At 35.5% G+C, this 16,371-nt stretch overlaps 1 protein-coding gene across 5 annotated transcripts in view; it reads right to left on the bottom strand.

Annotated features, from left to right (window-relative positions):
• Window positions 1-508: 508 nt before the first annotated feature.
• SPAM1 (sperm adhesion molecule 1) overlaps window positions 509-16,371 on the bottom strand; it is a 46,174-nt gene continuing 30,311 nt past the window's right edge. For 4 of the 5 annotated variants that reach the window (NM_001174044.2, NM_153189.3, NM_001174045.2 and 1 more), the window contains one exon: window positions 11,877-12,439. In NM_001174044.2, coding sequence (NP_001167515.1) covers window positions 11,954-12,439 — 486 coding nt within the window. In that variant the 3' untranslated portion in view covers window positions 11,877-11,953. Of the gene's footprint in view, window positions 917-1,626; window positions 1,726-11,876; window positions 12,440-16,371 lie in introns of those variants that run through there. The other variant, NM_003117.5, reaches the window with a different exon arrangement.

Raw genomic sequence — 16,371 nt, 5'->3', positions numbered from 1 at the left:
ACAAGCCCATTGTCTCATCTGTGAGCTTGAACTGATTCTATTTGCTACAACATGCTGTTGTGAGCACAGCTTTTTAGAATGTTACCATCAAAACAGAAAGTCTACAGGAAAGTGAACATACTGCCATCTCAAAAACCATTCTCCAATTTCAGATTTCATTCAAAATAAGGAAGAGGCTGGGTGTGGTGGCTCATACCTGTAATCCCAGCACTTTGGGAGGCCAAGGCGGGTGGATCACTTAAGGTCAGGAGTTCAGGACCAGCCTGGACAACATGGTGAAGCCCCATATCTACTAAAAATACAAAAATTAGCTGGGCGTGGTGGTGCACGCCCCTAATCCCAGCTACTTGGGGTGCTAAGGCAGGAGAATTGCTTGAATCTAGGAGACAGAGGTTGCAGTGAGCCAAGATCATGCCATTGCACTCCAGCCTGGTCAACAAGAGTGAAACTCCATCTCCAAAAAAAAGAAGAAAAAAAAAGATAAGGAAGAGATGCTTTCCCATTGAAATTTATTTTTGAGCAAAACCAAAATTTATTTTTATTTACACGATATGGATTTCTTTTGTCTTCCCCCAATTTTTAAGCATATTGCCTGAAATTATTTTTCCATGCTAAAATTGATGGAAAAGGCATAATTCTTTATAAATGGCATTTTGATCCAATGCAATAAAATAAGCTGTGTACATAATTTTTCTTATAATCTTATATAAATATCTTCTGGAAGAAAATTGATAGGCTTCATCAGATTCCCAAAGCCTCCATGATGTCAAAAAGGTTAAGGATAATACCATGAAAATCTGATTATCTTGAGGGAAGGTCTATCTTTGTAACTTGCCTTCTCCCCACAGCATCTAGGAGAGTGACTGCACTTAATACCCAAGGATGTTGGTGATGATAGTCATGGTTTTTTCATTTCCTAAAGGATATTGATCATGAGACAGAGTTAGCTGAGTAAACAGAAACATATATGGATTTTAATTTTAAAACTGAGTTCAAAACTGTATTCCTTAAAAAGTGAAGGAAGAAAACCTCTTTATTTAATATCTTATGAATTGGAAAAGGAATACCAGACTGGGAGGACGTAGAACAAAAATGTATTTCCTTTGTTTGCTACCACAAAATTATGGAATAGAATATGTTTCTTTACTTGTAATGCATGCATTCATATACTGGATTCATCTAAGTTAAAGTCTTTATTAATTAAAATAAACATTCTAAGGGTACTGATTTTGTTATGGACTGAACTGTGTTCTTTCAAAATTCATATGTTGAAGTTCTTAAACCCTAGTGCCTTACTATAATAATAATAATAATTATTATTATTATTATTTGTAGAGATGGGATCTCACTGTGTTGTCCAGGCTGGCCTTAAACTCCTGGTCTTGAGCAATCCTCCTGTCTTGTCCTCCCAAACTCTGGGATAACAAGCATTAGCCACTGCACCCAGCCTTAAACTCTAGTATCTTAGAATGTGACCTTATTTGAAGACAGGATCTTTAAGAGGTAATTAAGTGAAAATGAGGTCTTTAGAGTATTCTCCAATCCAACATGACTGGTGTCCTTATAAGGGGAAGAAACAAGGTCACAGACAGAAACATATGGAAGACACAAGGAGAAGATAGTCACCTGTAAGCCAAGGGAAGAGGCCTGAAACACATTTTTCCCTCATGACTCTCAGAAGAAACCAATTCTGCTAATACCTTGATCCCAGACTTCCAGCCTCCACTGTAAGAAAACCATAAGAAAATTAATTTCTGTTGTTTAAGCCACCTAGTCTGTGGCACTTTGTTATAGCATCACTAGCAAACTAATGGAGATATACAGAATAAATACCAGGAGACTCCATGTAAAGAAAGTGAACCCGGACTAAAGGACTTAAGGAAACACTAAGCTGGGGCATAGAAGAAGATATAATTTATTAATTCCTACGACCACCACTCTAGGAAAAAGAGAAACCTCTCTTAAAATACAGAGCTAGCTCTGAGGTTCCAAGTTTTCAGTGCCTTCACCATACATCAAAGCTATTAGATATACTATCCAAAACAATCTACAGATTTGATGCAATCCCTATCAAAATACCAATGTCATTTTTCACATAAGTAGAAGAAAAAATCTTAAAATCTGGGTGAGTCAAAAAAAAAAAAGAGCCCAAATAGCCAAAACAATCCTGAGCAAAAGGAACAAAGCTGGAGGCATCACACTACCTGACTTCAAAATACACTACAAGGTTATAGTAACCAAAAGAGAGAGCATGGTATTGGTATAAAAACAGACACATAGACCAACAAAACAGGACAGAGAACCCAGAAATAAATCCATGTTTCTATGGCCAACTGATTTTTGACAAAGGTGCCAAGAACATATATTGGGGAAAAGACACCCTTTTCAATAAATGGTGCTGGGAGAACTGGATACCCATATGCAGAAGAACGAGAATGTACCCCTATCTCTCAACATATACAAAAATCAACTCAAGATATATTAAAGACTCAAACATAAGACCCCAAACTATAAAAATACTAGCATAAAACATAGGGGAAATGCTTCACTACATTGGCCTGGGTACAGAATTTATGGCTAAGACCTCAAAAACACAAGCAACAAAACCAAAAATAGACAAATGGGACTACGTTAAATGAAAGTCTTCTGTACAGCAAAGTCAACAACCAACAGAGTGAAGAGATAACCTGCTGAGTGAGAGAAAATATTTGTAAACAGTTCATCTGGCTAGGGACTAATATCCAGAATATATAAGGAACTCAAACAACTCAACAGTAAAAAACCAAATAATCCCATTTTAAAAATGGGCACTCCAACCTTGGTTTGCATCTTGACCCTAGCCTTTGTTTTCTAGTGGTTTACTTTGGGAAAGTTGGTCAGAGTAAGGTCTCAGTTTCTTCAGATAATAACAGTGTCACCATCACAGGGTATTATGGAGATTAAATGAGAAAATGCCTATAATTTCTTAACACAGGCCTGGCCCAGAGCAAGTAATCAAAAAATATGAGCTGAAATAAAAATAACAACAATGTTAGCATATGGTGCTTACTATGTACCAAGTACTGATCAAAGAGCTTACACATATGAATTCATTTCATTCTCACACAGATGAGGAAACAAAGGCACGGACAAGTTATGTAACCTGCTCAAGCTTACACAGCCAATGAATGATGGGCCTAGAAGTCAAACTCAGGTAGTCTGGCTCTAGAAACCATATTTTCAAACTATTAGACATACTATCTCTCTCTATTATTATCCATTGTTAAAGACACTGCCCTTATCTTTTTCTTGAGCTTTGAAATAACATGGCTTTGAAAAAAAAAATTGTCAAGATACCCTACAGGCACCTCAAATACAACATGCTCAAAACCTAATCCCCCAAACCTGCTTCTCCACCTGTGCTCCTTTCTCAAGACTCGATGACATTGTCCTAACAAGGAACTTAGTGTCAGATTGAGGTTAGGAGGCAAGACTTTACTCCAGACCAGACTGAAGATTGGCTGAAACATGAAAGAGGCACCAAAAGCAATTCTCCATAAGACACGCCTGCCAGCGTCATGACAGTTTTCAATTGCCATGGCAACACCTGGAAGTTGCCTTCTCTTTCCATGCCAATAGCTCAGACGTTACCACCCCTTTTCTAGAAATTTCTGAATAACCTGCTCTCAGTTTGCGTATAATTATAAGTGGGTGTATATATGACTGCAGAACTGCCCCTCAGCAGCTACTCTCAAGCCCTGCTCTGCAGCAGCAGTCATGAAGCTCTAACACTGCCACCTCAGTAAAGCTATTTTCTTCTGCCTCTGGGTCACTCTTGAATTCTTTCCTGAGCAAAGCCAAGAACCTTCCTAGGCTAAGCCCCAATTTTGGGGCTTATCTTCCCTGCAAAAAATTAGGTTCCTTGCTTTCCCTTGACCCTCCCACATCCAATCATCCAAGTATTGATTTCTAATTCTATCCTTTTCTCTCTATCCCTAATACTTTCCTAATTCAAGACTTTATCCTCCCTGGCCTAGATAATGGCAATAGCCTTCTAACTAGTTTTCCTGCCTCCAGACTCAAAGACCCAATTTCTCCACAATGTACTTTCTCTGCAGATTTAAAATACAAATCTGACCATTTCAATCCAGGCTAAAGGATTAACTGCTGTTTCACTAACATCACCCAGAAGACACTTCATATCTGACACCTACCTTTCCAGCCCCAAATCCCATCTCCCACCACATCCCCCTTCCTTCTTGCATTTTAGCAGTCTCCAGAGGCTCTCACACTCTCCCCATCTCTCTCACACACACATGCATACACCCACACATGTGCACACATGCACACACACACGCACATACACCATGCTGTTTCACAAATACTATATTGGAGTCTACTTTTTAAAATTATCAGCATACCTACTAAGAATATATAAAACAATCACAGGGAATATCTAATCACTTAATTTCCTACCCTACCATTTCCCTCACTGACAAAATAACCACAAAATTAATTTACTTGTAGAAAAAAAGTTTAAATCAGTTTTATAAGTACATTTTTAAAATTATCTTTCAAGGACACAGAAGAACTTGCAGACAATCACAAAACAGCAACATTATGCATATAGTGATTTTAGCATTGTAATACCAGATTTATCTGAAATATAAGCTGACTGATTTCCTTCAGGATACGTACTGTGACTAGCACTGTGACTAGCTATTATTTCTGTTTGCTGAAACAAAAAGGCTTCAAGGACACAGAAATGTTACTGTTGAAGAAGCACAGGGGACTTGATGCCATTATCTTACTGCCCCCTGCTGCCATTATTGTATGTTATAAACGAGGCCCAGGAAATTCTAAAGTGATGCAAACTTCTAATAACCTAAGCTTCCTCTTTTCTCAATTGCCAGTGTCTCCTTTAATCCATAAAAGCCATATTGAAAGTATATAAATAATTAACAGACGGCCCTTGATAACCTATTCCCTACGATATAGCACTCAGAAAAAAATTGTATTTTTTTTGCTTCAACCTTCCAGTTCCAGGGTATATGTGCAGGATGTGCAGTTTTGTTACATAGGTAGATGTGTGCCATGGTTGTTTGCTGCACAGATCAATCCATCACCTGGGTATTAAGTCCAGCATCCATTAGCTATTCTTCTTAATGCTCTCCCCCTATACAGGCCCAGTGTGTGTTGTTTTTCCCAGTGTGTCCATGTGTTCTCATTGTTCAGCTCCCATTTGTAAGAAGAACATGTGGTGTTTGGTTTTCTGTTACTGTGTTAGTTTGCTGAGGATAACAGCTTCCAGCTCCATCCATGTCCCTGCAAAGGACATAATCTCATTCTTTTTTATAGCTTCATAGTATTCCATGGTGTATATGTACCACATTTTCTTTATCTAGTCTATCATTGATAGGCATTTAGGTTGATTACGTCTTTGCTATTGTGAATAAGGCTGCAATGAACGTACATGTGCATGTGTCTTTATAATAGAATGATTTATATTCCTTTGGATATATACCCAGTAATGGGATTGCTGGGTCAAATATTATTTCTGTTTCTAGATCTTTGAGGAATAGCCACATTGTCTTTCGCAGTGGTTGAACTAATTTGCACACTCCCCAACAGTGTAAACATGTTCCTTTTTCTCTGCAACCTCACCAGCATCTGTTGTTTCTTGACTTTTTAATAATTGCCATTCTGACTGGTGTGAGCTGGTATCTCATTGTGGTTTTGATTTTCGTTTCTCTAATGATCAGTGATGTTGAGCTTTTTTTCATTTGTTTGTTGGCCACATGAATGTCTTCTTTCAAGAAATATCTGTTCATATCCTTTGCCCACTTCTTAATGGGGTTGTTTGTTTTTTTCTTGTGTATTTGTGTAAGTTCCTTGTAGACTACAGATATTAGATCTTTGTCAGATGGTCAGATTACAAAACTTTTCTCCCATTCTGCTAGGTTGTTCCTTTGATGATAGTTTCTTTTGCTGTTCAGAAGCTCTTTAGTTTAATTAGATCGCACTTGTCAATATTGTTAAAATGGCCATATCGCCCAAAGTAATTTATAGATGCAATGTTATTCCCATTAAACTATCATTGACATTTGTCACAGAATTAGAAAAAACTATTTTAAAATTCACAAGGAATGGAAAAAGAGCCCAAACAGGCAAGACAATCCTAAACAAAAAGAGCGAAGCTGGAGGCAATACCCTATCTGATTTCAAACTATACAACAAGGCTACAGTAACCAAAATAGCATTGCACTGGTACAAAATAAACACATAGATCAATGGAACGGAATAGAGAACTCAGAAATAAGACCACGCATCTGCAGCCATCTGATCTTCAACAAACCTGACAAAAATTAGCAATGGGGAAAGGATTCCCTATTTCATAAATGGTACTGGGAGAACTGGGTAGCCATATGCAGAAAATTGAAACTGGACCCCCTTCCTTATACTTTATACAAAAATTAACTTAAGATGAATTAAAGACTTACATGTAAAACCCAAAACTATAAAAACCCTAGAAGAAAATCTAGACAATACCATTCAGGGCATAGGCAAGGGCAAAGATATCATGACGAAAATGCCAAAAGCGATTGCAACAAAAGAAAAATTCTTCATGATGGATGGATACCCATGGTCAGAAGCTATTCTGAAGCCTGGAGTGAAAAGGAATAGGAACTAGTTCCCTTGTGTTATAATGTTACTTGACTTCACATCCTTGCAGGAGCAGTATTGTATAATGGTGGAATACACAGGCTTGGGAGTCAAAGCCACCCACTCCGATCTTCTTTCAGCCTCTAGGACTTATTAGCTGTCTGACCCAGGGCAAGTCACTTATCTAAGGTGTAGTTATTTCAACTGGAAAAAAAATAATTAAATCAGAAGTTGTATGTAAAGCATATGATTGTTGTATAATAAACAGAAGCTCTTCTTATTTATGAAGAATTGTGAAGTGGTGATTAACAATTTCAGTCAGACTAATTGTCAGCATCATGTGGAAACAGAACATCACTAAAAGTATTTGTCACTAAAGTCAACTCTAACTATTCAAGGATTAAGGTTTCCTACAGGATACAAAAATTATATATTTATTTTTGGCTGCTCAGCCCTTAAAAACATTTGTATAATACATATTACAGTTTTAACAGTTTTTCCTGCTTTTACAAAGTGATAAGCACAGTATATTAAACCCAGAAATGTCTTTACCTCCAGTCTTTAATTAAAACCTAGTAGTGCCGCATGTGGTGGGTCACACTTGTGGTCACACCTGCACTTTCAGCTACTAAGGAGGCTGAGGTGGGAGGATCAGTTGAACTCAGGAGTTTAAGGTTACAATGAGCTATCACCATGCTAGTGCATCCCAGCCTAAGCAACAGAGTCAAATGGCAAGATACCTTGTCTCTTAAAAACTAAAAATTTTTAAAAAGTCAAAAATTTAAAACCTAGCAGAGAAAAATAAAATTATTTATAATGATATAGTCTAAAAATTACATAATTGTATATTTATCCTTTTCCTTATATCTATTATCTAGGATTAGCAAATTAGAATAAAAGAAGTGATATGTGATACATAATAAAAATTATGTATTCCACCTACTACTTTGAGGTTTATTATTAAATATATCCTGTATTGAAATGATTAGAAACCAAATAAATGAGCAAAGTTATATTAGCATAATGTTTTAAACATTTATAGAGTCTAATTACAGATGTAATGCATCAGTGATAATATAAAGACCTTCATGGAGGTCCCAATATTTTTCTGATAATTGACATGTACATCTAATATAGTATTTTTAAAAAATGGCACATAGTGCTTAAATTAGATAATTTGTAGTTTTCAGTCAAATTAAAGATGTTATAAATACATTTTACTTAATATACTGTCTTATAAAATAAAAATATTAAGTCAATTTTATATTTCAAATATAAACCTTAAATCATTTAATAGAGGAAAAATTTTGGAAAATAGATACATTCTCCAAATAAATAATCATTGCTATGTATTGAGCACCTACCATTCTTATAACAAGCACTGTACTAGCTAACTTTTGTTTACTTTCTCTAGTCTTCTAAACAATTGACCTTCTATTTGAGGAAATAAACTCAGAGAGGTTAAGTAAGTTTCCCAAAGTCAGCAGCTTACAAATTGCTAAACTGGGATTAGCTTGCTCTTCTCCCTATATCCTGCTACAAGAATTGGGCTTCCCATGAAAAACTTTTGAATTGGGCTCATGAACTTTTGAATTTTATTTAAATGATATTTCTTATAAAAAAGTAATTTGCCAAAACTTTGTATAGCCTTATGCCCTTATAAAAGCAATGAGAGTCAGCAGATAGATGAATTTGTAATTCCTTGTAACTGATGTACTTTAAAAATATAATGATGATTATCATAGACAAATGCCACATATAAAATATAAAGAGATAAAAAATATCCTTTTTAATGCTAATCTTTGGTTCCTCTTTTCACACTATAATCTATTGGTATCTAAAAAGCCATATCTTAAATTTTAGAAATGGCAACAGTCTACTAAAATCGAATTTAAGTATAAATGAGAAAACAAAGTTTACTCTGAAAAAAAATAAAAGATACCCATAATAAACTATGAAAAAAATGTCAACATTACTGATTAGAAACCAAGTTAAAACAAGATGTCATTTTCACCTATCAGGTGAACAATGACTGCAGAATTGTATAAAGACCAGTGTTGTTCATCTCTATTAGTGAGATCATTAATTGGAACAAAATTTTTTGAAAGATAATTTTGCAATATCTATCTAAATTAAAATGTATATACCCTTCACATCAGCAATTCCATTTCATCCTGGCAAAAGTATGCCAAGGTATATATGTACATGATATTAACTATAAAATTTTTGGTCGAGAAAAAAGTTTCCATAAAATAAATATTCACTAACAAGAACTTTCCTTTAAAATTGTCATATAGTGGTATCATGGCATGATGTGGTCAGTACAAAAATGTACTGATATGGACAAACACCCAAAATATATTGCTATATGGAAAGCAAGTTATCAAAAATTATGGCACCAGAGCCCAATGTGTTATTTGTGTATATATACACACACATTTGCTTCCATATTATTAGCAAATTTACAGAATTATGTACAAAAAAACTGAAACCAGAAGTTGCCACTTGTAGAAGGAAGACACAAGGAAACTTCTAGTTTTCCACTTAGTATTATTTCATAATGAGCAGCAATGACTTTATAGAATAAAAAAAAATTTTACAACTCAAAATTGATCAAAGACTTAAATGTTAAGACCTGAAGCTATAAAACTACTGGAAGAAAATATTGAGAAAACATTACAGGACATTGGTCAAGGCAAAGATTTTATGGGTAAAACTATGAAAGTACAGGTAACAAAAACAAAAATAGGCAAATGGGACTATAACAAACTAAAAAGCTTCTGCATGGCAAAGGAAAAGCAATGAACAGAGTAAAGCAAAAATCTGTAGAATGGGAGAAAATATTTGGAAACTATGCATCTGACAATTGATTAATATATAAAATATACAAGGAACTCAAACAATTCAACAGCAAAAAACAACCTAATCAAAAAATTGCTGAAGGATCTGAGTAGACAGCTGTCAAAACATACAAGTGACCAAGGGGTCTATGAAAAAAATACTCATCTTTACTAATCATCAGGGAAACGCAAATCAAAACCACAATAAGATATCCTTCACCCCAGTTAGAATTGCTGTTATCAAAAGACAAAAAACAGCAAGCACTGGCAAGGATGTGGGAAAAGGGAACTCTTGGTGAGAATGTAAATTAGTCCAGCCATTATGAAAAACAGTATGGAGGTTTCTTAGAAAACTAAAAATAGAACTACCATAGTGATATGCTTTGGCTGTGAGCCCACTCAAATCTCATCTTGATTTGTAGCTCCCATAATTCCCACGTGTTGTGGGAGGGATCGAGTGGGAGATAATTGAATCACGGTGACAGATTTCCCCCCTACTGTTCTCGTGGTAGTGAATAAGTCTCTCAAGACCTGATGATTTCATAAGGGGTTTCCCCTTTCCCTTGTCTCTCATTGTCTCTTGCTGCTACCATGTAAGAAGTGGCTTTCGCCTTTCACCATGATTGTGAGACCTCCCCAGCCATGCGGAACTAAGAATCCATTAAACTTCTTTTCCTTTATAAATTACCTAGTCTTGGATATGTCTTAATCAGCAGCGTGAAAATGGACTAATACACATAGGATACAGCAATACATATAGGATACAGCAAAGGAAAAAAATCAGTATATATCAAAGAGATATCTGCATCCCGTGTTTATTGCAGCACTATTCACAATGGCCAAGGTATGGAGTCAGTCTAAATGTCCATCAACAGATGAATGGATTAAAAAAATGTGGTGTATATACACAACGGAATACTACTCAGTCATAAGAAAAATGGAGTCATTTTGTTTGTTGCAACAACATGGATGGAACTAGAGGCCATTATCTTATGGGAAATAAGGCAAGCACAGAAAGACAAGCATCTCATGTTCTCACTCATATGTGAGAGCTAAAAAAATTGAAATCACAGAGAGAGGAATTATTGTTATGATTATTAGAGAGTAGGAAGGATGGGAGGAGAGAAGGATAGGGAGAGGCCAGATAATGGGTACAATACAGCTAAAGGGGAGGAATAAATCCTAGTGTTCTATAGCACTGGGGGGTGACTATAATTAGCAATAACATTGCATATGTTCAAAAAGCTAGAAGAGAGAATCTTACATGTTCCCAACACAAAGAAATGTTTGAGGTACTGGTTATCCTTATTACCATGATCATTACACATTGTATGCATGTATCAAAATATTACTCTCTACCCCATAAATATGTACAATTAGTACATGTCAACTAAAATTAAAAGAGAAAAAAATAAAAAAGATTTTAAGATAACATAATGTAAAAGACTATACAAGTGGTTCAATTTTAAAAACTTCAACCTTAAAAATGTATAATAATTTTTTTAATTTTTAAAAAATGCATAATAATAATTTGAATTATTTTTATTGCTTTTTAGAGCTCAGTCTCATTTCAGATATTAAACAAAGCTTAAACATAAAGAAATGAGATCTGTAACAAGTAAAACATTTTCCTTTTTTTTCACGGAAAATGTAATGCCGCAAAAAAATTAAGATCCTAATGACTTGTGCCATAATTTGAGAGTACCTAGCCGAATGGATTTGGAATATGTGGTTTCATCTCTTTTTGTTTCTAGGGGGGTATGGGGAAAGGAAGGAGGCGGTAGTAATATTTGTACAGGTCAGACTAGGTAAGGAATTTAGGTACAACTGCTCTGCGCTTTAAAAGAGAGTCGAAGGTTAATTGTATACACTGAAAGTATTCCTTTCGATCCTGTGCAAATTAGAGTCTTCAGTGGCACCAGAGAAAGCAAAAAAATACTAATTCTTTTCCCTTATCTCTTCCCTCCTTTTGTTTTCTTCTTTTCCACCCAAACTTTTTCCTTCTCCCTCTCTCTCTTGATTCTGAGCAGAGGAGAAATAGAAATATCCAAGCACTCTACATGTTACTGATGGCTTGTATTGAAAGGGTTTTCACTTTCGAGTTCTTAAACATTCTATATCAAGTTTTATTTTATCAAAATGTCAGTATCTTGTGCAGAATGATAGTGTTAAAACAATCCTGGCAGTTTTGCAAGTGAAACAGATAATATGAGTTTCTGTACTCTAAACTGCAGAATTTACATAAGCTATTGACTCCTGGAATACAAATCCCTGAACTCATGGTTGAGAATTCATACAATATAGCAGTGTTTGTCAAGTTCAAAGAAAATCGTCATTTCCTAGGTATAGTTATTCAGAAAGAACTTTCCAAAAATGATCTTTCAACAAGAGCTGTTCTTTTCAAAGATTTAATTAGTCGAAAAAGCACACTTTAAGATGGACATATTGTTCATTTCAGCTAACCTGCGCAATTACAAACTCGCTACAGAAGAAATGATAAGAAACAAAATACTAACAATGAACATTGTGGCAGATAGTGTGGAGGGTGAAGCATTGTAGAAAATTTGAGGTTCTTCTGTCTCCATGGGAGGTTTTAGAAAAGCATCTATACAGACACCATCAGCAATACACACATCAACAGCATCAGTGTCTTTTACATCAGCTTTCTCCTTACAACTCAAGGTGCTATAACAGCTGCAATAAAATTTTTCAGAAAATTGCTCCAGGTCTTCAAGTGTCGGTTTTCCACGTACTGTGAACTTTCCACCTTTCTCAAGTTGAATAGCAAAATTATCTGGGTTGAGGTGAAGATAGTCACTTGAATTCCAGTTTTTCCTTATACACACTCCTTGCTCCTGGCAAAGCACTTGGCTACACATTTTGGCTGCTAGTGTGACGTTGATTATGTAAGGATTCAGTATAGTCTCCATGTAATTGTCTAGGAGCAAGCAAGATTTCTGTAAAATTATTATAAGACAGTCAGAATATCAAAGGACAAGTTAGTTCAAATGCGAATTAATTTAGTGTATTAAGCAATTTTTTTACAGAAGAATGAAAACCAGAGATAGCAAGAAGTAGAAGATAATTTCTTTTTTACCTTAACCAACAAGATTATTCCAACTGCTTTTTGTAAGACTTATAAGTTTCACATGCCACTTCATTCCACTGAATAATTGACTAATTGAGGCTTAGTATTCCTTACCCTTGCTCGTCCTCTGTAATTCATAACATAATCAGGGGATAGAATGCTACAGCTGTTAAAGTGTGTTAGAGTATGTTCTCTAGGACATTTGCCCTGATTGGAGTCCCAGTTCCATTGGTGACTAGCTGTAGGAACTTGGGAATTTCTTAAGCTTTCTAAGTCTTAGTTTCCTATCTGGGTGACTTTGGGCAAATTGATTAACTTGATTATGCTTCAGCTTTACCATCTGGAAAATAAGGATAATTATGATGCCTACCTCATAAAGTTGTTATAAAAATAGATAAAAAAGAAAAATACATATAAATGTGCTTAACACAGGGGCCTACCATATCTTCAGTTGACCCTCAATAAATTATAAATAAATGTAAGAAGCACCACATTTGTCAGACAATTTTTTTTTTTTTCCTGAGACAAAGTCTTACTCTGTTGCCCAGGCTGGAGTACAGTGGTGCAGTCTTGGCTCACTGCACCTTTGATCTCCTGGGTTCAAGCAATCCTCCTGCCTTGGCCCCCTGAGTAGCTGGAACTATAGGCACATGCCACGAGATCTGTCTAATTTTGGTTTTCTTTTGTGGTAGAAGTGAGGTCTTACTATGTTGCCCAGGCTGGTCTTGAACTCTTGGGCTCAAGCAATCCTCCCACCCCATCCTTCCACAGTGTTGGGATTACAGGCATGATCCACCATGCCTCACCTGCCAGACAAGTTTAAATAGCATGGAAAAGGATGGCTTATAAATTGCTGGCTCGAATACATTAAACGGGTTCAACTGACTATACTTTCTATTAAATGTTATATATAGTCAAGTTATGGGTAAATAATGACAACTCTTTTACAAATTTGGCAGAGTATGAGCGATGACTAACTAAAATGATTCATCTTCATCTTGAGACTGGTATGTTCTAAACCCTGGACACTGTCCTTTGAGAAATATTGAAGTTGATCACTTTTTTTCATAATCAACAGTTCCATTGAGTGAGGTGGTTGTGCTAATACTTTATCAGGCCAAAGGAAGTGGCAGTGGTAGATATGCAGGCATGTGAAGGAATCTTGGCAGCTTCCATCTGAATATATTTCTTTTCATCTTCCTTGAGATGATGCCATCTATTGTTGGCAGAATAACTGATACCCAAAAATGTCTGCATCCTAATTCCCTGGAACCTGTGACAATGTGAACTTATGTGACAAAAGAGACTTTGCAGATGTGATTAAGGAATGGATCTTCAGAAGGGGAGATTATCCTGAATTATCAAGATGGACTCAATGTAATTACATGAGTCCTTGAAAGTATAGAAACTTTTCAAGCAGGGTTAGAAAGATAAACTGAAGGAAGGAGAGATTCAAAGTGTAAGAGAGATTCAACCCACCTTGGCTGACTTTAAGAAAGAAGAGGGCCATGAGCTAAGGAATGTACTGGCCTCTAAAAGCTGGAAATAGCCATTTGCCAGTAGCCAGCCAGATAATGGGGATCTCATTGCTATAAGCACAAGAAAGTGAATCTGCCAACAACCCAAATGAGAAAGTATCTTCTCCTAGAAAGGAATTCAGCCCTGCTGTCACTTTGATTTTATTCCATTGAAACCCATATTGGACTTCTTCTGATCTGAGAACTACAAGATAACAAATTTCTTCTGTTTTTTTAACCCACTAAGTCTGTTGTAATTTTTATGAAAGCAATAGAAAACTAATACACCATCCATCTTCGTAACAATCCAATATTTTTGAATGGTGTTTTGAATGAAATTCAACTTCTTCTCTTGACTTGTGCACAGTGTGACATTGTATAACCCTTGCTTCCTCTTGTACAACCTTCCCACATCCATTCTACCTTAGATATAGTAGCTATTTCACTAGCACGGCAGGTTCATTTCAAACTGCATTTACTGTTCCCACTGCTTGGAATGGTCTTTCCTCTAATTTTTAACACAATTGACTTCATCTTGTCATTCTGATGGCAGCTTTAAATTAGACAATGCCCTTCTCTGATAACTTCCTTGTTAAACTCTCCATATCTCTGTTTAAATTCTCTGTATAGCACTTACCATATCAAATATGTCTCTTACTTGTGTACTTTTTAAGTACTCATAAGTTCCAAGAGTACATAGACTTTGTCAATATTCTTCAACACTATGTTCCCAATATAAGGGACATGAGAATTTATACCAAGTTCAAATAACATTGCAGTTGCTTTCTCAACTCCACAGAGACAAGGGTTACACAAAGAGTAGTAAAAGGATGAGAATGGCTTGAGAATCATTAACCTGCATACTTTGTAGTCTATGGAAATACATTAAAATTGGCTCTCTAATAGGTAAGACCTGGTTCTTATCATTTGTATATATATCCATAGTGTAAATACTCCTGCCATGGCCAATTTCAAGCTACCTCCCAAACATTACTGAATGCAGATCTGGGAATCAAGTACACCACCATTACACATTATGGTACCATGGTGTGAAGTAGCACATTATTACATAGTATTTCCATTTATAAAGATGCAAAAGATGTAAATAATCTCAAGAGCATGGATCATGGTAAAATGAGGTAAAATAATTGGTATATTGAAATGTGTCACCTGTTTTTAACATAATTTTTTATTGTAAGTTTTTATCATTTAATTTTTAATAATGGCAGTGATTAACAACTGGTTCACAAAATCCCTGAATATTTAACAATTAGGTCTCAGCTGGGAGCAGTAGGGCTGGCTCTGTCACACCACCAGATATAATAAAATGGAACGAAAAGAAATGGCTCATTTGCATTTGTTTTATGTCAGTTCCAGTAACTGCAAGTAAACTTGCAATTATCGGTTTCTTAAGTTGTCAATGAATCAGAGAAAACATAACATGTAATCCATGACTATTGATTACAAATGGCATAGAAAAAAGGGGAAGTAATGATAGATCTATTATTTAAAATGATCAGAAGTTGAGAAAGATAGCAGAAATATATACAACAGAGTCTATAGGGAACAATTTTGGGACAATGCCATTAAGGAGAAAATAATCATATAAAAGTTGAAGGACTGTCTCTGGTATGGATAATACTGAAGATGATTTGAGAGACATAGTAGTAGAATTTGAATCTAAGCTTAAAGTGCCATTAAAAAACAAGCATGACACTTAAATAGTATGTCATGTCAACCTATTCATTGAGGAATGCCTGATTCACTCCTCCTCAGAGTAAGAGTGGAGCTTTCAGTTTTTTTAAAAAGAAAAGAAAATAGTATGGAGAATTTATAAATATTTATAAGTTTTTAAATAATAGGACATTTGAGAAGGGAGTTTATGGATTTGGGGAAACAACTAATAAAAATTAAGAATTTACTAAAGAAAATTATCATTTTACAATGATTTTCTGACACATAAAATACTTTACCAAGGGCCATATACCTTCTTCTGAACTTATATTTTTTGTTATTTCTTTATATTAGAGATCAAATTAAAGACAAAAGAGTTATGCAAAATAGGCAGATGGGCTCAGATTACCTTAAAAAATTCTCATAAATGTAACTGCTGTTGAGTATTTTTAAATAAAGACTATGTCATGTCTATTCTATCCAAAGAATAAGAGATGAATATAATGCTTCTCAAAGGCTTTCTTAGACTACTAGAGTATAGACTATTCGCTGAGGTCCTGAGATAGGACCCTTGGGCCATGAGCTTCATCTGGCATTCTTCATGGCATGT

This window comes from Homo sapiens, chromosome 7 (genome assembly GCF_000001405.40).
Source record: "Homo sapiens chromosome 7, GRCh38.p14 Primary Assembly".
NCBI classification, from domain to species: domain Eukaryota; kingdom Metazoa; phylum Chordata; class Mammalia; order Primates; family Hominidae; genus Homo; species Homo sapiens.
This window is presented reverse-complemented; position numbering and strand designations above follow the sequence as displayed.